Here is a 27003-nt window from a genome sequence, read left to right as displayed (position 1 = left end):
CTGAGGCAGGAGAATCGCTTGAACCTGGGAGGCGAAAGTTGCAGTGAGTTGAGAACATGCCATTGCACTCCAGCTTGTCTCAAAAAAAAAAGACCGGACGCGGTGGCTCACGCCTGTAATCCCAGCACTTTGTGAGGCCGAGGTGGGTGGATCACAGGGTTGGGAGTTCGAGACCAGCCTGGCCAAGATGGAGAAACCCCGTCTCTACTAAAAATACAAAAAAATTCCCGGGGCATGGTGGCACGCGCCTGTAATCCCAGCTGCTCTGGAGGCTGAGGCAGAGAATTGCTTAAACCTGGAGAGGCGGAGGTTACAGTGAGCCGAGATCGCGCCACTGCACTCCAGCCTGGGCTACAGAGCGAGACTCCGTCTCAAAAAAAAAAAAAAGAAGAAGCAAAAATGGGATTTAGCCAAAGAACAGAGAGATGGGTTCATGGATGGAAAATTACAAAGGAGGCACCCTGGACAGAGGATTTCTGCTTCAACTGGCCTAACGGGATTCTTGCTAAAGGTGGGCCAAGGCCTCCTACATCAAAGGTGGTGGATGAGGCACTTCATCAGATATCAGGGGCAGTTAGATGGGAAGAGTCAAGAGATAACTCAGCAGGAATCTCTGCTAAGAGTGGGCTGGTAAGGTCAAAGATAAGATAGCAGCCAAGGCCCAGGCCTAGTCAGGAGGGCTCAGGACAGCCTGTGTAAAGTTTGGTCAAGGGGGGGAGTCTGTCAAGGTATATGCTCCAAATTTGTTTCTTTTCTTTTTTTTTTTTTTTTTTGTTGAGACGGAGTTTCTCTCTGTTGCCGGCTGGAGTGCAATGGCGGGATCTCGGCTCTCTGCAACCTCCGCCTCCCGGGTTCAAGCGATTCTCCTGCCTCAGCCTCCCGAGTAGTTGGGATTACAGGCACACGCCACCACACCCAGCTAATTTTTGTATTTTTAGTAGGGGGGTTTCTCCATGTTGGTCAGGCTGGTCTCGAACCCTTGACCTCAGGCAATCTGCCCACCTCGGCCTCCCAAAGTGCTGGGATTACAGGAGTGAGCCACCGTGCTCGGGGCCAGCTTTTTTTTTTTTTTTTTTTTGAGGTGGAGTCTCACTCTCTGTCGCTCAGGCTGGAGTCCAGTGGTGCTATCTGGGTTCACTGCAAACTCCGCCTCCCAGGTTCAAGAGATTCTCCTGGCTCAGCCTCCCAAGTAGCTGGGATTAAGGCACCCAGCACCATGTCCAGCTACCTTTTGTATTTTTAGTAGAGATGGGATTTTGCCATGTTAGCCAGACTGGTCTTGAACTCCTGACCACCCATGATCCACCCACTTTGGCCTCCCAAAGTGCTGGGATTACAGGCATGAGCCTCCACGCACAGCCAAAATCTGTTTCTTCATTTTGAGTCTTGCTCTGTTGCCCGGGCTAGAGTACAGTGACTCTGTCACAGCTCTCTGCAGCCTCAATCTCCTGGGCTCAAGTGATTCTCCCACCTCAGCCCCCTGAGCAACTGGGACCTCAGGTGCACTCCACCATGCCTAATTTTCTTATTTTTTGTAGAGAAAGGGTCTCGCTACATAGCCCAGGCAAGTTTTGAACTCCTGAGCTCAAGCGATCCTCCCGCCTCAGCCTCCCAAAGTGCTGGGATTATAGACTTGAGCCACTGCACTTGGCCTGCTTTTTATATTTCTATTGAATAAGTCCTCACTGGAACTATCAATTATCTCTAAAGTGGCCGAACCCTGCAGTGGTCAAGAACACCATCTTCCAGCTGCCTTCTTCTAGAGCCTGCCTTGCCAGACACTCAGAGCCATACAATTTATATTTGGGTTCCATGCTCAAGAGTTATGGCTGATAGAGTGCTTGCTAGAAAATGTGGACAGGGCTGGGCACAGTGGCTCACACCTGTAATCCCAGCACATTTGGAGGCCAAAGCGGGCAGATCATTTGAGGACAGGAGTTTGAGACCAGCCTGGCCAATATGGTGAAACCCCGTTTCTACTAAAAATACAAAAAAAAATTACCTGGACGTAGTGGCAGGAGCCTGTAATCCCAGCTACTTGGGAGGCTGAGGCAGGAGAATCGCTTGAACCCAGGAGGCAGAGGTTACAGTAAGCCAAGATCAGGCCACTGCACTCCAGCCTGGGCGACCGAGTGAGACTCTGTCTGAAAAAGAAAAATAAAAAAAAGGTGAGGCCCAGTGGCTCACAGCTGTAATCCCAGGACTTTCGGAGGCCAAGGCAGGCAGATCACTTGAGGTCAGGAGTTCGAGACCAGCCTGACCAACATGGTGAAACCGCCCTACTAAAGATACAAAAATTAGCCAGACATGGTGGCAGGAGCCTGTAATCCCAGCTACTGGGGAGGCTGAGGATGAGAATCGCTTGACCCAGGGAGGCGGAGGTTGCAGTGAGCTGAGATCAAGCCACTGCAGTTTAGCCTGGGTGACAGAGTGAGACTCTTTCTAAGAAAATAAATAAATATGACAGGTGCAGTGGTTCATGCCTGTAATCCTGGCACTTTGGGAGGCTGAGGGGGAGGATCACTTGAGGTCAGGAGTTGGAGACCAGCCTGGACAACATGGTAGAACCCCATCTCTAGTAGAAATACAAAAATTAGCCGGGCGCGGTGGTGTGTGCCTGTAATCTCAGCTACTCAGGAGGCTGAGGCAGGAGAATTGCTTGAACCTGGGAGATGGAGGTTCCAGTGAGCCGAGATTGTGCCACTACACTCTAGCCTGAGCGACACTCTGTCTCAAAAAATAAATAAATAAGTAAATAAATAAATAAATGTAAAATAAAAATAAAATTAGGCTGGACTTGGGGGCTCATGACGGTAATCCCAGCACTTTCGGAGGTTAGGATAAATAAATATATATTTTTATATTACATATAATAATATATAAAATATAAATATATATATATTGTAAAACAGGGTCTCACTCTGTCACCCTGGCTGGAATGCAGTGGCACTATCACGGCTCACAGTAGCTTTGACCTCCTGGGCTCAAGAGATTCTCCCACCTCCAGCCTCCTGAATAGCTGGGACTACACACACCCACCATCATGTCCAGATAATTTTAGTATTTTTTGTAGAGACGGGGTTTCACCATATTGCCCAGGCTGGTCTCAAACTCCTGGGCTCAAGTGACCTGCCCAGCTCAGCCTCCCAAAGTGCTGGGATTACAGGCATGAGCCACCGCACCTGGCCCACATCAGGACTATATTGAATAGTGCAGGTACAGAACAGGTGCATCCTTGCATATAAAGTTCTGTTGGATGGGCCGGGCACGATGTCTCACACCTGTAATCCCAGCACTTTGGGAGGCCAAGGCAGGCGGATCATAAGGTCAGGAGTTTGAGACCATCCTGGCCAACATAGCGAAACCCCGTCTCTACTAAAAATACAAAAATTAGCTGGGCATGGTGGCATGTGCCTGTAATCCCAGCTACTTAGGAGACTGAGGCAGGAGAATCGCTTGAACCAGGGAGTCAGAGGTTGCAGTGAGCCGAGATTGCGCCACAGCACTCCAGCCTGGCAACAGAGCAAGACTCCGTCTCAAAAAAAAAAAAAAAAAAAGTTCTGTTGGATGGTGCTGATGTGTAAAATGGCCTCAATGAAGAGGCTTGGATCTGCAGAGAGGTTGGGGGACATCACTGAGGAAATGGAAACGGAAGTCAGGGGACAGGCCTGGAAATGTGACTAAATTCTAAGGCATGAATTGGATAATTCGCAACTTCGGAAAAAGAGATTTCAGGTGCCCATTTATTTATTTATTTATTTATTTATTTATTTATTGAGATGGAGTTTCACTCCTGTCGCCCAGGCTGGAGTGCAGTGGCGCGATCTCGGCTCACCGCAACCTCCACCTCCCAGGTTCAAGCGATTCTCCTGCCTCAGCCTCCCGAGTAGCTGGGATTACAGGCATGCGCCATCACACCCAGCTAACTTTTTTGTATTTTTAGTAGAGATGAGGTTTCTCCATGTTGGTCAGGCTGGTCTCGAACTCCCGATCTCAGGTGATCCCCCTGCCTCAGCCTCCCAGAGTGCTGGGATTACAGGCATGAGCAACCGTGCCCGACCTATTATTATTGGTTTCTTTTTTATTTTTATTATTTTATTATTATTGGCTTCAGGTGCCTATTAACCCCCAAAAGAAGGTGGGGTTTTTTGGCCCTATGCAGCGGATCACATCTGTAATCCCAGCACTTTTGGAGGCCGTGGTGGGAGGATGGCTTGAGGCCAGGAGTTTGAGACCAGCATGGGCAATATGGGGAGACCTCATCTTTAGAAAAAAAAAAAAAAAAAAAAAAAAAAAAAATATATATATATATATATATATATATATATATACACACACACAGACACACACACATATATACATATATATAAAAATATATGGCCAGGCGTGGTGGCTCACACTGCAATCCCAGCACCTTGGGAGGCCGAGGCAGGTGAATCACTAGGTCAGGAGTTCGAGACCAGCCTGGCCAAGATGGTGAAACCCTGTCTCTACTAAAAATATAAAAATTAGCCGGGCACGGTGGCAGACGCCTGTAATCCCAGCTACCTGGGAGGCTGAGGCAGGAGAATCGCTTGAACCCAGGAGGCAGAGGTTGCAGTGAGCCAAGATAGGGCCACTGCACTCCAGCCTGGGCGACAGAGCAAGACTCTGTCTCAAAAAAAAAAAAGAATTATTTAGGCTGGGGATGGTGTCTCACTCCTATAATCCTAGCACTTTGGGAGGCTGAGGCGGGTGGATCACCTGTGGTCAGGAGTTCAAGACCAGCCTGGCCAACATGGTGGAACCCCGTCTCTACTAAAAATACAAAAATTAGCTGGGCACGGTGGCAGGTGCCTGTAATCCCAGCTACTCGGGAGGCTGAGGCAGGAGAATCACCTGAACCCAGCAAGCGGAGGTTGCAGTGAGCAAAGATCACGCCATTACACTCCAGCCTGGGCAACAAGAGCAAAACTCCATCTCAAAAAAAAAAAAAAAAAAAGAAAAGAGAAAGAGAATAATAAATAAAAAATTAGCCGGGCATGGTGGTGCATACTTGTGGTCCCAGCTACTCCGGGGACTGAGGTGGGAGGACTGCTTGGGCCCAGGAGGTCAAGGCTGTAGTAAGCTGTGATGATACCAAGGCACTCCAGTCTGGGGTATAGAGGGAGACCCTGTTTCAAAAAAATAATACACAAAGAATGCCTTTTTACATTTTTTTCTTTCCAGAGAAGGGGTTCTACCTGTTAACCCAGGCTGGACTGGAACTCCTGGACTCAAATGATCCTCCTGCATAGCTGGGATCACACGCGCTGGGCACACTATGCCAGATGCAAAGAATACATTTATTTCTTTTTTTTTTAAATTGAAGTTCAGCTTTTTATTGAACACTTTATAAAAAGAGGTTCAGTGAAAAAGACCAAAGCGCATGTCATCATCACCGTCCTCGGATTCTTCTTTCTTTGCTTCCACTTTCTTCTCCTCAGCTGGAGCAGCTCCACCAGCCTCTACACTGCAGATGAGGCTCCCGATGTTGACATTGACCAGGCCTTTGCAAACAAGCCAGGTCAAAAAGGTTCAATATTTACACCAGCTGCTTTAATGAGAGCATTGATCTTATCCTCCGTGACGGTCACCTCATCGTCGTGCAGAATGAGCGCCTAGTAGATGCAGGCGAGCTCGGAGACAGAGGCCATGGCGCGGGCGAGTGTGGGGCTGGCACTGCCGGACGTGGTGCTAGTCGCGGGATGAAGTGAGGGCCTCACTGCAACGCGGCCTTGGCTTCCTCGGAAGGACCGAGCACCTTGGCAGCAGCTGAGGAAAGGGAAGAATACATTTCAATGAGCTTGATGTCAGAATTTTCTTTTACTTTTTCTTTTTCTTTTTTTTTTTGTTGTTGTTAGAGTCTCACTCTGTCGCCCAGGCTGGAGGGCAGTAAGTAGTGCGATCTCTGCTCACTGCATCCTCCACCTGCCGGGTCCAAGCGATTCTCCTGCCTCAGCCTCCCGAGGACCTGGGATTACAGGCGTCTGCCACCACGCCTAGCTAACTTTTTCGTATTTTTAGTAGAGACAGGGTTTCACCATGTTGGCCACAGTGGTTTCGAACTCCTGACCTCAAGCGATCTGCCGGCCTGGGCCTCCCAAAGTGCTAGGATTATAGGCATGAGCCACAGCACCTGGCCAAGAAATTTGTTTTTTTTTTGAGACAGAGTCTCGCTCTGTCACCCAGGCTGGAGTGCAGTGGCACGACCTCGGCTCACTGCAACCACCATCTTCCAGGTTCAAGCGATTCTCCCGCCTCAGCCTCCCAAGCAGCCGGGATTATAGTGTAATACCCAACCTGGTTTTTACTAACCCTGTTTTTAGACTCTCCCTTTTCCTTTAATCACCTAGCCTTGTTTCCACCTGAACTGACTCTCCCTAAGCTAAGAAAGCCAGACAGATTCCATCTTGGCTCTTTCACTGGCAGTCCCTTCCTCAAGGACTTAACTTGTGCAAGCTGACTTCCAGCACATCCAAGAATGCAATTAACTGATAAGATACTGTGGCAAGCTATATCCGCAGTCCCCAAGAATTCGTCTGACTGATAACGCCCAAAGCCCCGCGTCTATCACCTTGTAATAGTCTTAAAGCCCCTGCACCTGGAACTGTTTTACTTTCCTGTAACCATTTATCCTTTTAACTTTTTGATTACTTAACTTCTGTAAAATTGTTTTAACTGGACGCCCCCCCCTTCCTAAACCAAGGTATAAAAGTTAATCAAGCCCCTTCCTCCGGGCTGAGAGAATTTTAAGCCTTAGACGTCTCTCAGGCGCTAGCTAATAAAGGACTCTTAATTCGTCTCAAAGTGTGGCGTTTTTCTAACTCGCTCAGGTACAACAATAGGCACTTGCCACCATGCCCGGCTAATTTTTGTATCTTTAGTAGAGACGGGGTTTTGGCCAGGCTGGTCTCAAACTCCTGACCTCAGGTGATCTGCCCACCTCGGCCTCCCAAAGAGCTGGGATTACAGGCATGTGCCACTGCGCCCAGCCAAGACATTTTTTTTGCTGCTGTTTTTACTGACAGAGAGGAGTGATAGCTCAGTCAGTCATTAAAAGGAGAATTCCTCCTCTAATCAATGTGGAGGCCCTAAGGGGAAAGGGTGGGGCATAGTCTCATTTTCTCCATCTGTTGAGGATTTACTGGAACAGAACTGGTTTTCAGTTAACAGAGTCCTCTTTTACTGAATATTCCTAAAGACCTTTGAGAAGAACTTAGCTTAACAAGTATTTGTTAAAATCTACTAACTTCCAGAGCCTAATTCATTGGTGAGAAATAGAGATTGAATTCCTTAATACCTGGGCCGTGCACACATTGGCTGTCGCCTGTAATCCCAGCACTTTGGGAGGCCGAGGTAGGAGGATCACCTGAGGTTAGGAGTTCAAGACCAGCCTGGCCAACATGGTGAAACCCCCGTCTCTACCAAAAATACAAAAATTAGCCGGGCATGGTGGCGGGTGTCTGTAATCCCAGCTACTCAGGAGGCTGAGGCAGGAGAATCGCTGGAACCCAGGAGGCAGAGGCTGCAGTGAGCTGAGATTGTGCCACTGCTCTCCAGCCTGGACGACAGAGTAAGACTGTGTCAATAATAATAATAATAATAATAATAAAATTTTAAAAAAGTTCTCTACTACCGGGAGTCTGTATTTAAGTGGACAGAACTGGAGGCAGCTGAGGACTAGGGCAGGTGGGTGGAGGGGCGAGGCCTCCAGTTGGGAAGCAATGAAAAGCATCCTAAAGAAAGTGCTGGGAAGAGAAACTTTTTTCTCTTTCAACTTGGCTCCTATAGTTGGTGGTCTGCAAATTAACTGAAAATAGAGAGATCTACAGCTGAAAAGGTTTATTTACAGATGCTTGAAGGAGTTCCCAATTATGTAAACCTCAAGGAACAGCCTGGAGAAAAGGTTTACATATATCAACTTAACAAACAAGGGCGTTTTTTGGACCTCTATGGGAAAATAGAAGCCTGGATGGAACAATCCAAAGTTTTAATCAAAGAAGGTGGTGTTTAGTTGCTGCTCAGGATAGTTGATACCTCAGGATTTGGAGATGCAGTGGATAGTAGTAATTGCTGGCAGCCTGTTATCGATTACATTGATAGTAAATTTGAGGACTACCTAAATGCAGAATCGCGAGTGAGCAGACGTCAGATGCCTGATAACAGGACCATTACATAACTGAAGACTCCCACCTTCAGGCAGGATTGGGTAGTGCATGTTTGTAACTACTTGACATTGCCTTTTGTTGAGACTTAAACCACTGGATGTTGAGTTTATGAAACATTTGCATGAAAAAGTGAATATCATCCCACTTACTGCCAAAGCAGACACACTCACACCAGAGGAATGTCAACAGTTTACAAAACAGATAATGAAAGAAATCCAAGAACATAAAATTAAAATATATGAATTTCCAGAAACAGATGATGAAGAAGAAAAGAAACGTGTTAAAAAGATAAAGGACCGTTTACCTCTTGCTGTGGTGGGTAGTGATATTATCACTGAAGTTAATGGAAAAAGGGTCAGAGGAAGGCAGTATCCTTGGGGTATATATTGTGCTGTGATTTAGCTCCAGCAGTGCCATGTGCAACTGAAAAAGAATTTGGGAGCACGGCACAAAGAATTAGAGGAGAAACGTCGTCAGTTTGAGGATGAGAAAGCAAACTGGGAAGCTCAACAACGTATTTTAGAGCAACAGAACTCTTTGAGAACCTTGGAAAAGAACAACAAGAAAGGGAAGATCTTTTAAACTCTCTATTGACCACCAGTTGTGTATTAGTTGCCAATATGCCAGCTTGGACATCAGTGTTTGTTGGATTCATTTGACCAAGTTGCACCAGTTTGATCCATAATGATGGATTTAACAACATGACAAAAATTATTTTTGTTGTTGTTGTTCTTGATGGAGATTAAGATGCCTCGAATTGTCTAGGGTGTTGTGTACTTAGAAAGTAACAGCTCTAAGTACCTTTCCTACATTTTCTTTTTCTTTTTTTATTAAACAGGTCTCTTCAGTTTAATGCAAGAGAACATTTTACTGTTGTACAGTCATGTTCTGGTGGTTTGATAGTTTACAGGAGATTCCAAAATAAAAGGACTCTGGAAGGTTTTCATTGACGATGAATTGCCATAATATGATGCAAACTGTGCTTCTCTATGATAATTATAATACAAAGGTTCCATTCAATGCAGCATATACAATAATGTAATTTAGTCTAACACAGTTGACCCTATTTTTGACACTTCCATTGTTTAAAAAAAAACACATGAAAAAAAAACCCTATATGCTTACAGTGCACCTAGAGCTTTTTATAATAACCTCTTTTTGTTTGTTTGTTTTGGATTCTTTAAATATATATTATTCTCATTTAGTGCCCTCTTTAGCCAGAATCTCATTACAGCTTCATTTTTGTAATAATATTTAATTTAGATATTTTCCAAATATTGACCCTGCTAAAATAGAATATAGCATCTTCCATATGGTAGGAACCAACAAGGAAACTTTGCTTTAACTCCCTTTTTACGATTTACGGTAGGTAGCAGGGGGGAAAAATGCATTTATAGATCATTTCTAGGCAAAATTGTGAATCTCACAACCAACCTGTATGCGGTCTCTTTATTTTACTAGAAATGGGAATCATGGCCTCTTGAAGAGAAAAAAGTCACCATTCTGCATTTAGCTGTATTCACATATTGCATTTCTGTATTTTTTGTTTGTATAGTAAAAAAATCACGTAATAAACCATGCCGTGATGTAAAAAAAAAAAAAAAAAAAAAAGTATTTTCAGCTTCAACTCCACACAATTCAATGGAAATGTCCCCTGACCTGAAGTTCTGGTTTCCCTGCATTCCAGACAGGACATTTTCTTTTGTCCTTATCTCAGTAAGGACTGAGTACTGTGAGAGGAACGAGTGAGTCTCTTTTGTTTCTGATTGCCCAGAGCCTGTATCTTGCTTGGCACATAGGAGATAGCAAAAGTAGACATCTATGTAAATTCTTGAATTGACACTCCCTTGGTTCACAAAAATTGGCTGTTATCAGTGTGGCTTCGACTTACTTGATTCTTTTTGTTTTTCTGTTTTTTGTTTTTTGAGACAGAGTTTTGCTCTTGCTGCCCAGGCCGGAGTGCAGCGGTGTGATCCCGGCTCACTGTAGCCTCTGCCTCCCGGGTTCAAGCCGTTCTCCTGCCTCAGCCTCCCGAGTAGCTGGGAATACAGCCGTGTGCCGCCATACAGGGCGAAGTTTTTGTATTTTTAGTAGAGGCGGGGTTTCACCATGTTGGCCAGGATGGTCTTGATCTCCTGACCCCGTGATCCGCCCTCCTCGGCCTCCCAGAGTGCTGGGATTACAGGCGTGAGCCACCGCGCCCGGCCTATTTATTTAATTTTTTGAGACGGAGTTTCGCTCTTGTTGCCCAGGCTGGAGTACAGTGGTGCGATCTCGGCTCACTGCAACCTCAGCCTCCCGGGTTCAAGCAATTTTCCACCCTCAGCCTCCGGAGTAGCTGGGATTATAGCACGTGCCACCGCGCCCAAGTAATTTTTGTATTTGCTAGTACAGACGGGGTTTCGCCATGTTGGCCAGGCTGGTCTTGAACTCCTGACCTCAGGTGATCCCCCTGCCTGGGCCTCCCAGAGTGCTGGGATTACAGGCGTGAGCCACTGCGCCTGTCCCTAACCAGCATCTTATGTGCTGGCTGTACATCCACACTGGCCTCTCTGGGTACCTTCTGGTGTATTCTTTTTCTTTTCCTTTCTTTTTGAGACAGGGTCTTGCTCTGTCAACCAGGCTGGAGTGCAATGGCGCGATCTTGGCTCACCGCAACCTCCGCCTCCCGGGTTCAAGCAATTATCCTCCCTCAGTCTCCCAAGTAGCTGGGATTACAGGTGTCTGCCACCACACCTGGCTAATTTGTATATTTTTAGTAGAGACGGGGTTTCACCATGTTGGTCATGCTGGTCCTGAACTCTGGACCTCAAGTGATCCACCTGCCTTGGCCTCCCAAAGTGCTGGGATTACAGGCAGGAGCCACCGTGCTGGGCCTACGGTGTTGTTTTTTGAGACAGGGTCTCACTTTGTTGCCCAGACTGGAGTGCTGTGGTGCAGTCATAGCTGATTGCAGCCTTCAACTCCTGGGCACAAGCGATCCTCCCACCTCAGCCTCCCAAAGTGCTGGGTTTACCGGCCTGAGCCACCGTGCCTGGCTGAAGCCTAAAGACTTCTCTGGGGCAGGGCATGATGGCTACCACCTGTAATCCCAGCAGTTTAAGAGGCTGAGGTGGGAGGATTGCTTGAGCCCAGGAGTTGAAGACTGCAGTGAACTATGATTGCGCCACTGCACTCCAGCCTGGAGAGCATAGGAAAACCCTGTAACTAGCCGGGCATGGTGGCTCATGCCTGTGGTTCCAGCTACTCGGGAGGCTGAGGTATGAGAATTGCTTGAACCCGGGAGGCAGAGGTCGCAGTGAGCTGAGATGGCGCCACTGCACTCCAGCTTGGGTGACAAAGCCAGACGCTGTCTCAAACAACAACAACCACAACAAAACAAAAAAGAGAATGATGGCCGGGCGCGGTGGCTCACGCCTGTAATCAATCCCAGCACTTTGGGAGGCTGAGGCGGGCGGATCACCGGAGATCAGGAGTTCAAGACCAGCCTGGCCAGCATGGCAAAACCCCATCTCTACTAAAAATACAAAAAATCAGCCGAGCGTGGTGGTGGGCGCCTGTAATCCCAGCTACTTGGGAGGCTGAGGCAGGAGAATCACTTGAACCCGGGAGGCAGAGGTTGCAGTGAGCCAAGATTGCGCCATCGCACTCTAGCCTGGGCAACAAGAGCTAAACTCCACCTCAAAAAAAAAAAAGGAATGATAAGTTGTGGGGATGTGACAAGACAAAGAGGCTTGGGCTAGGGGAAGTGACCAGGAAACAGTGGGGAACTTAAGGAAGATAAGGGTTAGTAGCTGAGTTGTTTAGCATATGGACTCCTGGCCCCTGCTGATAGGAACATTCTTCTCTTCCTGGCGCAGGAAGGGCGTTTTCCTCTTGATAAATTTTACAATCTACTTTTACGTAGGAAGGGGGAGGTCAGATGCATCTGCTTTTTCCCACAGGCTTCCAGGTCGAAATAATCCATATGCTGACGCGATGACTTTGGGGTGACATGCCCTGAGCCCCTTCAATATATACTAGCCCCTTGCTGACTGAGAGTTGAGAGAGCACCATTCTCTGCCTGGAATGTTTGTTGCTAGCTAATCCATCCCGCCGACTGTGGCCTCCCAAACTGCTGGCGTTACAACCAGCACTTTGGGAAGCCAGGCCAGGAGGATCATTTGAGCCCAGGAGTTCAAGACCAGCGTGGGCAACATAGCGAGACCCCCATCTCTACAAAGAGTACAAAAATTAGCCAGGCATAGTGGCACGCGCGCCTGTAATCTCAGCTACTTGGGAGGTTGAGGTGGAAGGATCACTTGAGGCAGACGTTGCAGTGAGCCAAGCACTCCAGCCTGGGTGACAGAGCCAGATCCTGTCTCAAAATAAGAAAGTTTCGGGTTCCATTCGGTTCTCCCACCGACCCCGCTGTGGGTCTCAGCAGCTCGGGCGGCGGGAGGAGCCGCAGCCGCCAGGCAGCCCAGCTTCGCCAAGGCTCTCGGCAGCCGCGGCCCGCAGACAGCCGGCACGCGCCCTCTCCGCCACCAGGATGCCCAAGAGGCAGGTTAGCTCCGCCATAGGGGCCGCCAAGGAAGAGCCCACGAGGAGATCGCACGGTTGTCAGCTAAACCTGCTCCTGCAAAAGTGGAAGCAAGGCCGGGTGCGGTGGCTCACGCTTGTAATCACAACACTTTGGGAGGCTGAGGCGGGCGGATCACCTGAGGTCAGGAGTTCGAGACCAGCCTGGCCAACATGGTGAAACCCCCGTCTCTACTAAAAATACAAAAATAAGCCGGGCATGGCGGTGCGCGCCTATAAGCCCAGCTACTCGGGAGGCTGAGGCAAGAGAATCGCTTGAACCGGAAGGCAGAAGTTGCTGTGAGCCGAGATCACGCCATTGCACTCCAGCCTGAGCAACAGGGTGAAACTACGTCTCAAACAAAACAAAACAAAACAAAACAAAAAAACCAGTGGAAATGAAGCCGAAAAAGGCAGCAACGAAGGATACATCTTCAGACAAAAAAGTGTGAACAGAAGGGCAAAGGGGAGCAAAGGGAAAACGGGCAGAAGTGGCTAACCAAGAAACTAAAGATTTATCTGCAGAAAATGGGGAAAGGAAAACTGAGGAGGCCCAGCCTCTGATGCCCAGTCTGATTCACCGTATACCACGTCTCATCAGTGCTCCCTGTCTCGCTTCTTGTAAAACCCAGAGGAATCTTTTTATCAACTATTTTGTAAATGCAAGTTTTTTAGTAGTTCCAGAAACTTTTTTTTTTTTTTTTTTTTTGAAACAGAGTCTTGTTCTTGTCGCCCAGGCTGGAGGGCAGTGGCGTGATTTCAGTTCACTGCAATCTCCACCTCCCGGGTTCAAGCGATTCTCATGCCTCAGCATCCGGAGTAGCTGGGATTACAGGCGCGCACCACCATGCCTGGCTAATTTTCATATTTTTAGTAGGGATGGGGTTTCACCATGTGGGCCAGGCTGGTCTTGAACTCCTGACCTCAGGTGATCTGCCCACTTCGGCCTCCCAGAGTGCTGGGATTACAGGCGTGAGCCACTGCACCCGGCCAGGGTTCGTGTTTATATCCTATAATACAAAGCATATTAAATGGCAGCATGGAATCAGCTCTGCATTTAGTGTCTTGAACATTTTAAATTACTTCTATTCTCCTGTCGTATTTTGGAATTGTTTCCTAAAGAAAACCACTCCCTGACCATGGCTCTCCCTGTTAGAATTGTGTGGACTCTGTAACATCTTTGATTGTGGTAGTTCTGTTCTCCTAATAAGTTTGTTTCTGCGTTGTGAAAGATGAAAAATTTGAATATGTAGGGTACATGCTATTTTTAGTTGTGAATTGGAGGGACGTCCGTAACAGCTGATCAACATGTGAAGATACTGGTACTTGATAGCCTCTTAAGGAAAATGTGCTTCCAAATTTTAAGCTGGAAAGTCGCCGGAATAACTTTGTAGAAGAATTACAATACATGGCCGGGTGCGGTGGCTCACGCCTGTAATCTCAGCACTTTAAGAGGCCGAGGCGGGCAGATCACCTGAGGTCGGGAATTCGAGACCAGCCTGACCGACAGGCAGAAGCCCTGTCTCTACTTAAAAAAAAAAAAATACAAAAATTAGCCGGGCATGGTGGCATTTGCCTGTAATCCCAGCTACTTGGGAGGCTGAGGCAGGAGAATTGCTTGAACCCGGGAGGCGGAGGTTGCGGTGAGCCGAGATTGCGTCATTGCGCTCCAGCCTGGGTGACAAGAGCGAAACTCTGTCTCAAAAAAACAAAACAAAACAAAACGATTTACAATACATGGCTTTTTAGATTTTCGGTACGTATGTTAAGAATTGTGTACAAATTGAAATGTCTGTACCGATCTTCAACCAATAAAATCTCAATTATGAAAGAAAAAAGTAATAACGTTCCATCTATTGTATCCTCACGTGAAGAATAATTCCCACACTTAAGTGCTTGCTTTGGCAGCACACATTAAACAATGAAATGATAGGTTCCCACGGCCCCTGCGCAAAGGTGACAGCCAAATTCATGATGGGTTCCGTATTTAAAATTAGGGGAAAAAAATTTCTCACACTTAAACAACAAATCACTTCTTGTTCGAGTAGATTCTAGATATGCTGTTAATCTGAAATACAAATTTAACCGGGTTTCCCTGCTCTGGGAAGCCCCCTTTGGCAATTCAGATAAGGGTCTTTTTTTGGAAGGCAATAGGTAGGAATACGGAGATGTCAGCAAAGGGAAGGGGCTCTCAGGGATTTCTATGGATTGTGCAGATGTCCTGCGAGGTCCCAAATTTCCCCAAAAGATCCTGAGTCCGGGCAGAAAGGACCACTGGGCTCCAGAAACCAAATGAAGTGGCCCAGAGTGGGAGCCTTTGTCATCAGATTCCATGACTGAAAGACAGCCAGGAGCAGAGCAAAAATCCCAGGGACTCTCTCTACCAGAAGACACCTGCTCCATCCAGATCAAACCCAAACTGTCACCAGAGAATGATGCCTGGCACTCCTTTCCCCTCGGCTCATCCTGCCTGCACCAGTGCAATGCCCTGGTGTTCCCAGTCCAGATGCCTTCACTCCATCCAGTGCCCCAGGAGGGTCACCTTGCAGTTATCAGAGAGGAAGATGGGTTCTTCCACCCTTGTGAGCTTCCCAGACATCAGGGTGTGCCCACCCCACTCCATTCCGAAAGGATGTTCCGCCCAGTTCTCCCAGCCTCCTGCTTCCATCCAGGGACCATCCTTCATTGGCAAGATTCACACTTCAGACAACCAGAACCAACCCATTATATTAAAAGTGGTCACAACAGGCCACCCATTCAAGACTGGTTTTTGTGAAATGCCCACAAGAGGCAAATCCAGAGCTAGAGAGATGTAGAGTAGTTGCCAGGGTCTGAGTGGAAGAGGGGGGTGGGTACTGAAGGCAAATGGGTATAAGCTTCTTTGGGGTGATAAAAATCTTCCAAACTAGAGTGGTGGTGGTTGCAAATATGCTAATGTTCATTTGTAGTCCAAACTACCAGAGACCGTGGAGGGGCAGAGGCAGGAAGATCTCTAAAGCCTAGTTTAGCCCGGGTGGCATAGCTAGACCACTGTCTCTAAAATAGAAAAATTAGGCTGGTCATGGTGGCTCACGCCTGTAATCTCAGGACTTTGAGAGGCCGAGGCGGGCGGATCACTTGAGGTCAGGATTTTGAAACCAGCCTGGCCAACATGGTGAAACCCCGTCTCTACTAAAAATACAAAAATCGGCCGGGCGTGGAAGCATGCGTGTAATCCCAGCTACCTGGGAGGCTGAGGCACAATAATTGCTTGAACCCGGGAGGTGGAGGTTGCAGTGAGCCGAGATCAGGCCAGTGCACTCCAGCCTGGGCAACAGAGCGAGGCTCCATCTCAAAATAAATAAATAAAAATAAAATAGAAAAATTAAATCAAATGTGCATTTATGATGTGGTCATGCGCCCTACATTTCAGCTTCATTTTCCCAATAAAAACTCAAAGCCCATGCACTCCACCTCCGTGCTCTTGCTAAGCAGTGCACATCCCACCTGCAAGGGACACTGAGGTTCCCTTCAGCTCTACCTCAACCCAAGTCAAGGGAGGTTCTGTAAACCAGTGCAGGCATAACTTCCACGGAGTAAAAGGTGTTGAGGGCTGGACGAACAGGCATCGCTCACTACGGCAACAACGAGAGCTGCCTCGCATCCCACCTGTTACTAGGGAGCCCCTTCTAGGGCCCTAAAGGCTTTCGTGAAAGTATCTGTGGTTGGCCGGGCACAGTGGCTCACGCCTGTAATCCCAGCACTTTGGGAGGCTGAGGTGGGAGGATCATCTGAGGTCAGGAGTTCCAGCCTGACCAGCATGGCGAAACCCCGTCTCTACTAAAAATACAAAATTACCTGGGCGTGGTGGTGCATGCCTGTAATCCCAGCTACTTGGGAGGCTGAGGCAGGAGAATCGCTTGAATCGCCTCCAGGAGGCGGAGGTTGCAGTGAGCCGAGATCGCACCATTGCACTCCAGCCTGGGCAACAAGAGTGAAACTTTGTCTAAAAAAAAAAAAAAAAAAAAAAAGGATCTGTGGTTTTGTCTTGTGCGACATTTATCACTGCCACTGAGATTCATCTTGTCTACAATAGTTTGTTTCTTATATTAGCCACAGCAAACATTTCACATCTTACCGAGCAACTGACACTTAGATGTGAGCTTTTGCCCGGTGGAATGGTACCTTGGAATCGTTACCCATAGAAAATAGGATAAAAGAACTCACTGGGGTTGGCATTAGTGGGTAAGGGTTGAATCAACCACACCCTTCCTGCAGAGAAAGCAGGTCTATTCCGAGAAATGATGGCAAGTTTTTGGGGAAGAAAAACTAAAGACACAAATGAATAGGAAAAAGAAAAGAAATTTTATTAATATTGACAACCGTTGGGGATTACAAAATAGACTGGATAGACGTGGAGGCGTTCTTAGTCTCTTAATGAAGGACACATGATTTGGATTGATTACACTAAATTGATGGGAGGCTAGTGTTTCAAATGACCAACCCAAATGAAGTCTCTGGGACCAGGTGCCAGGTGCCACGTAATCTGTGTTTTTAAAGAGATGGGATCTTGGTATGTGGTCCAGGCTGGCCAACATATGCTCACAGGAAGAACAATTCCTACACATAAGTGCTTGCTTCAGCAGCACACATAAAAATAAATGAAATGGGCCGGGCACAATGGCTCATGCCTGTAATCCCAGCACTTTGGGAGGCCGAGGTGGGTGGATCACCTAAGGTTGGGAGTTCAAGATCAGCCTGACCAACATGGAGAAATCCCATCTCTACTAAAAATACAAAGAATTAGCCGGGCGTGGTGATGCATGCCTGTAATCCCAGCTGCTCGGGAGGCTGAGGCAGGAGAATCGCTTGAACCAGGGAGGTGGAGGTTGCAGTGATCCGAGATCATGCCATTGCACTCCAGCCTGGGCAACAAGAGGGAAACACCGTCTGAAAAAATAAGTAAATAAATAAAAATTAGCCGGCCTGGCGGTGGCTGCCTGTAATCCCAGCTACTCGGGATCAAAAGTGTGATCAGCACATGGTATAGCCTGGAAATCAAAGGACCCTCCCACCCCGGCTTCTGCAGTAGCTGGGACTGTGTGCCCCATGATGCCTGGCCATGTCAGCTACGTTTGAAATGGGTCATCAGGACAAGGCGGCTCACACCTTTAGGATCCCTTGAGCTCAGGAGTTGAGACCATCTTAGGCAAGAGAGATTCCCTTTCTATCAAAAATTAAAAACTATCGGCCGGGCGCGGTGGCTCACGCCTGTAATCCCAGCACTTTGGGAGGCCGAGGCGGGTGGATCACGAGGTCAGGAGATTGAGACCATCCTAGCTAACAGGGTGAAACCCCGTCTCTACTAAAAATACAAAAAACTAGCCAGGCGTGGTGGCGGGCACCTGTAGTCCCAGCTACTCGGGAGGCTGAGGCAGGAGAATGGCGTGAACCCCGGAGGCCGAGCTTGCAGTGAGCCGAGATCTTGCCACTGCACTCCAGCCTGGGCGACAGAGTGAGACTCCGTCTCAAAAAAAAAAAAAAAAAAAAAAAAAAAAATTAAAAACTTAGCCAAGTGTGGTGGCATGCCCCATGTAGTCCCAAAACTTGGTAGGCTGACTTAAGAGGACCACTTGAGGCCGGGCGCAGTTGCTCACGCCTGTAATCTCAGTACTTGGGAGGCAAGGGAGGTGGATCGCTTGAGGACAGGAGTTGAGACCAGCCTCCCCAACATGGTAAAACCCTGTCTCTGCTAAAAATACAAAAATTAGCCGGGTGTGGTAGCCCACACCTGTAATCCCAGCTACTCGGGAGGCTGAGGTGAAAGAATCACTTGAACCGGGGAGGGGAAGGCTGCAGTGAGCTGATAATGCACCACTGCACTCCAGCCTGGGTGTCACCACCAGACTCTCTCTTGAGAAAGAAAAATAAAAAAAGACCTCTTGAGCCCAAGAGATCTAGGTGGGAAGTACCACCGCACTCCAGCCTGGGCAACAAACACACTGTCTTGGAAAAAAAAACAAAGCAAAAACAGAACCCAACATCATCCAAGTCTGATGATAAGCATGCTCTGCAAATGTATTACCAAAATCAGCATCAACTTCAACGTTGCTTTTCTCAAACAGTAACACTCTAAAAGGATGCACTTTCCTTTCTTTCAGACAACAGAAAGCGCTTCCCTGTAGAGGGACACAGCCTGAGATCTTCTTGCTCCGGCACTGTGGATTTTTTGTTGGAATCTTCCTTGACCAGGTCAAAATGGACACAAAAATAAAGATGCATTTATTGGCCCTGTTTGCGTGTTTTCTGGAATCCAGAGCATAAATCCCTAAAAGGACCATTTCCAGTTCCTTGCTTCAAAGAATCAGCAGGTTAGTCCTGTTCATCAAGGGGCAATCCTCCTGTGTTTTGTCTCCAGAAAGAAAAAGCAATGCCTACTAGATATATATTATATTTGCACAAGAGGATTAGGCTGGATTTCTAGAGAACAGCAAATGGACTCTGAGCCAAGTCTTCACTTGCGTTCCAGTACAGGGACACACAGTCCCCATGGAGGCACCCAAAATGGAATCGAAGATGTTGAAGAATATACATTGTCACACACACAAACATCCTCCAGGACAGACCACAGGCGAGGCCATAAAAGCTCCTTAATAAAATTTGAGCAGAAACACACAAGTAAGAGTAGGGCACGGTGGCTCACACCATTAATCACAGCAGTTTAGGAGGCCCAGGTTTGAGGAGTACTTGAGCTCAGGGGTCCGAGACCAGCCTGGGCAACATGGTGAAACCTCATCTGTACAAAAAATACAAAAGTTAGCAAGGTGTGGTTGTGCATGCCTGTAGACAGGTATTCAGGAGGCTGAGGTGGGAGGTGGAGGTTGCAGTGAGCCAAGATCGCACCACTGCCCGACAGCCTGGGTGACAGAGCCAGACTCTGTCTCAAAAATCAATCAATCGATCGACAATAAAAATGCAAAAATTAGCCAGGCGTGGTGGCACATGTCTGTAACCCCAGCTGCTCGACAGGCTGAGGCAGGAGAATTGCTTGAACCCAGGAGGCAGAGGTTGCGGTGAGCCGAGTTCCTGCCACTGCACTCCAGCCAGGGCCACAGAGCAAAGAAGACTCTATCCCGAAAAGAGGGCCACTTGAACCCAAGAGATCTAGGTTAGAAGTGCCACCGCACTCCAGCCTGGGCAACAGATACCTTGTCTTAGATAAAAAAATAAAACAAAAACAAAACCCCACCATTATCCATGTCTGATGATCAGCACGCTCTGCAAATGTATTACCAAGATCAGCGTCAACTTCGACGTTGCTTTTCTCAAACCGTAACCCTCTGAAAGGAAGCACTTTCTTTTCTTTCAGACAACAGAAAGTGCTTCTTTCCTCGAGAAGGTCACAACCTGAGATCTTCTTGCTCCAGCACCGTGGGTTTTTTTTTTTGGAATTTTCCTAGATCAAGTTAAAATGGACGAAAACATAAAGATGCATTTATTGGCCCTGTTTGCATGTTTTCTGGAATCCAGAATATAAACCTCTAAAAGGACCATCTCCAGTTCTTTGCTTCAAAGAATCAGCAGGTTAGCCTTGTTCATCAAGGGGCAATCCTCCTGAGTTTTGTCTCTGGAAGGAAAAAGCAATGCCTGCTACACATACCTTATATTTAACCAAGAGAATTGGGCTGGATTTCTAGAGAAGAGCAATGGATTATGAGCCAAGTGTTCACTCAAGTTCCAGTACAGGGACACACAGTCCCAATGGGAGCACCCAAAATCAACTCTACGATGTTGAATTGTCAAACACACAAACATTCTCTAGGATAGACCACAGGCTTGGTCATAAAAACTCATCAAAATTTGAACCTAAATCACAAGTACCGATGGGGCATGGTGGCTCACACCTCTAATCCCAGCACTTTAGGAGGCCAAGACAGGAGAATCACCTGAGCTCAGGAGTTCGAGACCAGCCCCGGCAACATGGTGTAACCCCATGTGTACAAAAAATACAAAAGTGAGCCGGGTGTGGTGGTGCATGCCTGTAGACACTAATGCAGCAGGCTTAGGTGGGAGGCGGAGGTTGCAGTGAGCCGAGAACGCACCACTACACTCCAGCCTGTGTGATAGAGCTAGACCTTGTCTCAAAAATAACCAACCAAACAAAATACACACACACAGAAACAAAAAATACCCAAGTTGATATCAGAGTATTCTCTGTATTTAGAACAGTATTTTGTGTCTATATGATATTTTATATATAAAGAATATATGATAAAATATACATTATATATGTTTGAGACTCTGTCTCAAAGTTCCATATATTATATGCTCACAGGAAGAATAATTCCTACACATGAGTGCTTGCTTTGGCAGTGCACATAAAAAAAATTGGAATGACAGAGATTACCCTGGCCCCTGCACAAAAGTGACATCCAAATTCATGATGGTCTCATATTTATCTATTTATTTTTATCTATTTAATTTCATTTTTATTATTTATTTTATTTTTGAGATGGAATCTTGCTCTGTGGCCCAGGCTGGAGTGCAATGGCATGGCTTCAGCTCACTGAAATCTCTTCCTCCTGGGTTCAAGCGATTCTCCTGCCTTAGCCTCCAAGTAGCTGGAAATACAGATATACACCACTGCACCCAGCTAATTTTTGTATTTTTAATAGAGATGAGGTTTTGCTATTTCAGCCCTGTTAGTCTTGAACATGACCTCAGGTGATCCTCCCGTCTCGGCCTCCCAAAGTGCTGGGATTACAAGTGTTTGCCAGCGCACCCAGCTGATTTTTTACTTTTTTGAGACTCAGTCTCACTCTGTTGCCCAGGCTGGAGTGCAGAGGCTTGATCTCAGCTCACTGAAAGCTCAGCCTCCCAGCCTCAAGCAATTCTCCTGCCTCATCCACCCGAGTAGCTGGGATTACAGGCATGCACCAAGACCACGTCTCACTAATTTTTTTATTTTTAGTACAGACGAGGTTTCACCATGTTGGCCAGTCTGGTCTCGAACAACTGACCTCAGGTGATCCTCCTGTCTCCGCCTCCCAAAGTGCTGGAATTACAGGCATGAGCCACCGTACCTGGACTAGTCCCATATTTAAAGTTAGGAAGAAAAAAAAAGATGCCCACACCTAAACAGCAAATCATTTGTTGTTCAAGTACATTTCAAATACATTGTTTATCTAAAATACATGTTTAACTGGGGTCAGGTATGAACCAAAGAACAGTCCTTACTTTCTTCTTGTCTGTGCATGGGGGGTTAATATTCACATGTAGTCCCATGTACCAAGGACTGGGGAGGGGCAGAGGCAGGAGGATCTAAGCCCACTTCAGCCTGGGCAGCATAGTGAGATCCCCATCTCATGCATTTATCTCCTGGTCACACACCGAAGATTTTAGCTTCATTTCCCCAATAAACACTGAAGCCCCATGCACTCCACCTCTGTGCTCTTGCTGAGCAGTGCACATCCCATCTGCAAGGGAAACTGAGGTCCCCTCAACTCCACCTGACCCCACGTGAGGTTCTATACCAGTGCCAGAAAAATTTCCATAAAGTAAGAGGTGTTGATGGCCACGCAGTGGCTCATGTTTGTATTCTCAGCACTTTGGGAGGCTGAGGCAAGCAGCTGACTTGAGGTCAGGGGTTTGAGACCAGCCTGGCCAACATGGTGAAAGCCCATCTTTACTTTAAAAAAAAAAAAAAAAATTCAAAAAGTAGCCGGGTGTAGTGGCAGGTGCGTGTAATTCCAGCTACTCAGGAGTCTGGGGCAGGAGAATCACTTGATCCTGGGTGGCATACATTGCAGTAAGCCGAGATCAAGCCACTGAACTACAGCCTGGGTGACGGTGAGACCCCATCTTAAAAATAAATAAAAAAAAAACCCAAATATTATCCAGGTGTGGGGATGGGCGCCTGTAAATCTCAGCTACTTGGGAAGCTGAAGCAGGAGAATTGCTTGAACCTGGGAGGCGGAGGTTGTAGTGAGCCAAGATGGGATGACTGCACTTCAGCCTCGGTGACAGAGAGAGACTCTGGCCCCCAAAAAGGACCATTTAAATCCAAGAGACCTAGGTGGGATGTGCCACCGCACTCCAGCATGGGCAACACAGACCCTGTTTTAGAATAACAAAGCAAAACCAAAACAGAACCCCGCCACCGTCCAAGTGTGATAAGCATGCTCTGCAAATGTATTACCGAGATCAGCATCAACTTCAACGCTGCTTTTCTCAAACCGTAACACTCCAAAGGGAAGCGATTTCTTTTCTTTCAGACAACAGAAAGCGCTTTCCTTTGTAGACTCACAGCTTGAGATCTTCTTGCTCCAGCACTCTGGGTTTCTTGTTGAAATTTTCCTTGACCAGGTTAAAATGGACAGAAAAATAAAGATGCATTCATTGTCCCTATTTGCATGTTTTCTGGAATCCAGAACATAACCCCCTAAAAGGACCATCTCCAGTTCCTTGCTTCAAAGGCTCAGCAGGTTAGCCTTGTTCAAGAGGCAGTCCTCCTGAGTATTATCTACAAAGAGAAAAAGCAATGCCTACTACACATACCTTTTTATTTTTTATTTTTTGAGATGAAGTCTCGCTCTGTCACCCAGGCTGGAGTGCAGTGGCGCGATCTCAGCTCACTGCAACCTCCGCTTCCTGGGTTCAAGCAATTCTCCTGCCTCAGCCTCCCAAGTAGCTGAGATTACTGGTGGAGCCACCACGCCCAGCTAATTTTTGTATTTTTAGTAGAGATGGGTTTCACCGTGTTGGTCAGGCTTGTCTCGAACTCCTGACCTCGTGATCCTCCCACCTCGGTCTCCCAAAGTGCTGGGATTACAGGCATGAGCCACCACGCCCAGCCCACATACCTTGTCTTTAACCAAGACAATTGGCCTGGAATTCATGAGAACAGCAATGGATGTTGAGCCAAGTGTTCACTTGAGTTCCAGTACAGGGGCACACAGTCCGGATGGGAGCATCCAAATGGAATCTAAAATGTTGAAGAATATACATTGTCACACACACAAACATTCTCCAGGATAGACCACAGGCTGGGATGTAAAAGCTCCTCCATAAAATTTGAGCAGAAACACACAAGAGTAGGGCACGCTTGCTCACACCATTAATCACAGCAGTTTTGGAGGCCCAGGCGGGAGGAGCAATTGAGCTCAAGGGTCCGAGACCAGCCTGGGCAACATGGTGAAACCTCATCTATACAAAAAATACAAAAGTTAGGCAGGTGTGGTAGTGCATGCCTGGAGACAGGTATTCAGGAGGCTGAGGTGGGAGGTGGAGGTTGCAGTGAGCCGAGATCGCACCACTGCCCTATAGCCTGGGTGACAGAGCCAGACCCTGTCTCAAAAATAAATCAATAAATCAATAATAAAAATGCAAAAGTTAGCTGGGCATGGTGGCACAGCCTGTAACCCCAGCTGCTCCGGAGGCTGAGGCAGGAGAATTGCTTGAACCCAGGAGGCAGAGATTGCAGTGAGCCAAGTTCCTGCCACTGCACTCCAGCCAGGGCCACAGAGTGAGACTCTGTCCCAAAAAGAGGGCCACTTGAACCCAAGAGATCTAAGTTGGAAGTGCCACCGCACTCCAGCCTGGGGAACAGACACCCTGTCTTAGATAAAAAACAAAACCCCACCATTATCCACGTCTGATGATCAGCACGCTCTGCAAATGTATTACCAAGATCAGCGTCAACTTCAACGTTGCTTTTCTCAAACCGTAACCCTCTGAAAGGAAGCACTTTCTTTTCTTTCAGACAACAGAAAGTGCTTCTTTCCTCGAGAAGGTCACAGCCTGAGATCTTGCTCCAGCACCGTGGGTTTTTTGTTGGAATTTTCCTAGATCAAGTTAAAATGGACAGAAACATAAAGATGCATTTATTGGCCCTGTTTGCATGTTTTCTGGAATCCAGAATATAAACCCCTAAAAGGAGGATCTCCAGTTACTTGCTTCAAAGAATCAGCAGGTTAGCTTTGTTCATCAAGGGGCAATCCTCCTGAGTTTTGTCTCTGGAAAGAAAAAGCAATGCCTGCTACACATATCTTATATTTAACCAAGAGAACTGGGCTGGATTTCTAGAGAAGAGCAATGGATATTGAGCCAGGTGTTCACCGGAGTTCCAGCACAAGGACACACAGTTTCTACGGAAGCAATCAAAATGGAATCTAAGATGTTGATGAATATACATTGTCTCACACACAAACATCCTCCAGGATAGACCACAGGCTAGGACATAAAAAATCCTCAATAAAATTTGAAAAGAAATACAGAAGCTGGGCGCGGTGGCTCATGCCTGTAATCCCAGCACTTCGGTAGGCCGAGGCCAGTAGATCATGAGGTCAGGAGTTTGAGACCAGCCTGGCCACCTTGATGAAACCCCATCTCTACTAAAAATACAAAAAATTAGCCAGGCGTGGTCGTGGGCACCTGTAATCCCAGCTACTTGGGAGGCTGAGGCAGTAGAATCACCTGAACCCGGGAGGGGGAGGTTGCCGTGAGCTGAGATCATGCCGTTGCACTCCAGCCTGGGTGACAGAGCGAGATCCCATCTCAAAAAAAAAAAAAAAAAAAAAAAGGCCGGGTGCAGTGGCTCACACCTGTAATCCCAGCACTTTGGGAGGCTGAGGCAGGGAGATCACGAGGTCAGGAGATCAAGACCATCCTGGCTAATACGGTGAAACCCCGTCTCTACTAAAAATACAAAAAATTAGCCAGGCGCGGTGGTGGGCACCTGTAATCCCAGTTACTTGGGAGGATGAGGCAGGAGAATCGCTTGAACCCGGGAGGGGTAGGATGCAGTGAACCGAGATCGTGCCATTGCACTCCAGGCTGGGTGACAGAGCGAGACCCCATCTCAAAAAAACAAAACAAAAAAACAAAAAAGCTGGGTGCGGTGGCTCAAGCCTGTAATCCCAGCACTTTGGGAGGCCAAGGCAGGCAGATCACGAGCTCAGGAGATCAAGACCATCCTGGCTAATCCAGTGAAACCCCGTCTTCACTAAAAATACAAAAAATTAGCCAGGCGTGGTGGCGGGTGCCTGTAGTGCCAGCTACTTGGGAGGCTGAGGCAGAAAAATATCATGAACTGGGGAGGCGGAGCTTGCAGTGAGCCAAGATCGTGCCACTGCACTCCAGCCTGGGTGACAGAGCCAGACTCCATCTCAAAAAAAAAAAAAAAAAAAGAAAAGAAAAGAAATACACAAGTTTGGGTGAGGGACAGTGGCCGAGACAGGAGCATCACTTGAGCTCAGTAGCTGGAGACCAGCTTGGGCAATATGGTGAAGCCCTGTCTGTAAAAAAACTACAAAAGTTAGGTGGCCAGGTGCAATGTCTCTCACCTGTAATCCTAGCACTTTGGGAGGTCGAGGCAGGTGGATCACTTGAGGTCAGGAGTTCAAGACCAGCCTGAGAAAGAAGGTGAAACCCATCTCTACTAAAAATACAAAATTAGCCAGGTGTGGTGGTGCATGCCTGTAATCCCAGCTACTTGGGAGGCTGAGGCAGGAGAATTGCTTGAAGCCGGGAGTCAGAGGTTGCAGTGAGCTGAAATCACCCCATTGCACTCCAGCCTGAGCGACAAAAGCAAAATTCCTTCTCAGAAAAAAAAGTGAGCCAGGTGTGGTGGTGCATGCCTGTAGACACTAATTCAGGGGACTTTAGGTGGGAGGTGGAGGTTGCAGTGAGCTGAGCTTGCAATACTACACTTTAGCCTGAGCAACAGAGCCAGACGTTGTCTCAAAAACAAAGAAACAAACACAAAACAAACACACAAACAAAAAAACCCAAAGCGATATAAGAATACTCTTCGTGTGCAGAAGAGTATTTTGTGTGTATATGATTATATATATAAGAATATATGACAAAATATATATCATACTAGCCAACATGGTGAAATCCAGTCTGTATTAAAAATGAAATATAAAAAGTAGCCAGGTGTGGTGGTGTACTTCTGTAATTCCAGCTACTCAGGAGGCTAAGGCAGAAGCATTACTTGAACCAGGGAAGCGCAGGTGGCAGCGAGCCGAGATCGTGCCACTGCCCTCCAGTCTGGGTGACAGTGAGACTCCATCTTAAAAATAAATAAATACATGAATAAAACCAAATATTATCCAGGTGTGGGGATGGGCACCTGTAAATCTCAGCTACTTGGGAGGCCGAAGCAGGAGAATTGCTTGAACCTGGGAGGCGGAGGTTGTAGTGAGCCAAGATGGGATCACTGCACTCCAGCCTCGGTGATAGAGAGACTCTGCCCCCAAAAAGGACCATTTGA

At 47.3% G+C, this 27003-nt stretch overlaps 1 long non-coding RNA gene, 4 other non-coding genes and 5 pseudogenes across 5 annotated transcripts; 4 read left to right on the top strand and 6 right to left on the bottom strand.

Annotated features, from left to right (window-relative positions):
• On the bottom strand, positions 5348-5805 carry RPLP1P12 (ribosomal protein lateral stalk subunit P1 pseudogene 12; annotated as a pseudogene).
• SEPTIN7P8 (septin 7 pseudogene 8) lies at positions 7986-8779 on the top strand (annotated as a pseudogene).
• Positions 12721-13303, top strand: HMGN1P32 (high mobility group nucleosome binding domain 1 pseudogene 32; annotated as a pseudogene).
• RNU6-165P (RNA, U6 small nuclear 165, pseudogene) lies at positions 14642-14740 on the top strand (annotated as a pseudogene).
• On the bottom strand, positions 17075-25036 carry LOC124904766 (uncharacterized). The gene is made up of 2 exons (XR_007067335.1): positions 23591-25036; positions 17075-17678 (listed from the first exon to the last, which is right to left on the bottom strand). It is a non-coding gene; the product is annotated as an uncharacterized LOC124904766 (long non-coding RNA).
• MIR519A2 (microRNA 519a-2) lies at positions 18844-18930 on the bottom strand. The gene has a single exon (NR_030222.1). It is a non-coding gene; the product is annotated as a microRNA 519a-2 (primary transcript).
• Positions 20052-20141, bottom strand: MIR516A2 (microRNA 516a-2). Its single transcript, NR_030221.1, has one exon. It is a non-coding gene; the product is annotated as a microRNA 516a-2 (primary transcript).
• On the top strand, positions 21086-21187 carry RNU6-1041P (RNA, U6 small nuclear 1041, pseudogene; annotated as a pseudogene).
• On the bottom strand, positions 22956-23042 carry MIR1283-2 (microRNA 1283-2). The gene has a single exon (NR_031696.1). It is a non-coding gene; the product is annotated as a microRNA 1283-2 (primary transcript).
• MIR516A1 (microRNA 516a-1) lies at positions 24444-24533 on the bottom strand. The gene has a single exon (NR_030220.1). It is a non-coding gene; the product is annotated as a microRNA 516a-1 (primary transcript).
• Positions 25037-27003: the final 1967 nt, after the last annotated feature.

This window comes from Homo sapiens, chromosome 19, assembly GCF_000001405.40.
Source record: "Homo sapiens chromosome 19, GRCh38.p14 Primary Assembly".
Taxonomy (NCBI): domain Eukaryota; kingdom Metazoa; phylum Chordata; class Mammalia; order Primates; family Hominidae; genus Homo; species Homo sapiens.
Note: the sequence above shows the minus strand (reverse complement) of the source record. Positions and strands in the feature narration are given on the sequence as shown.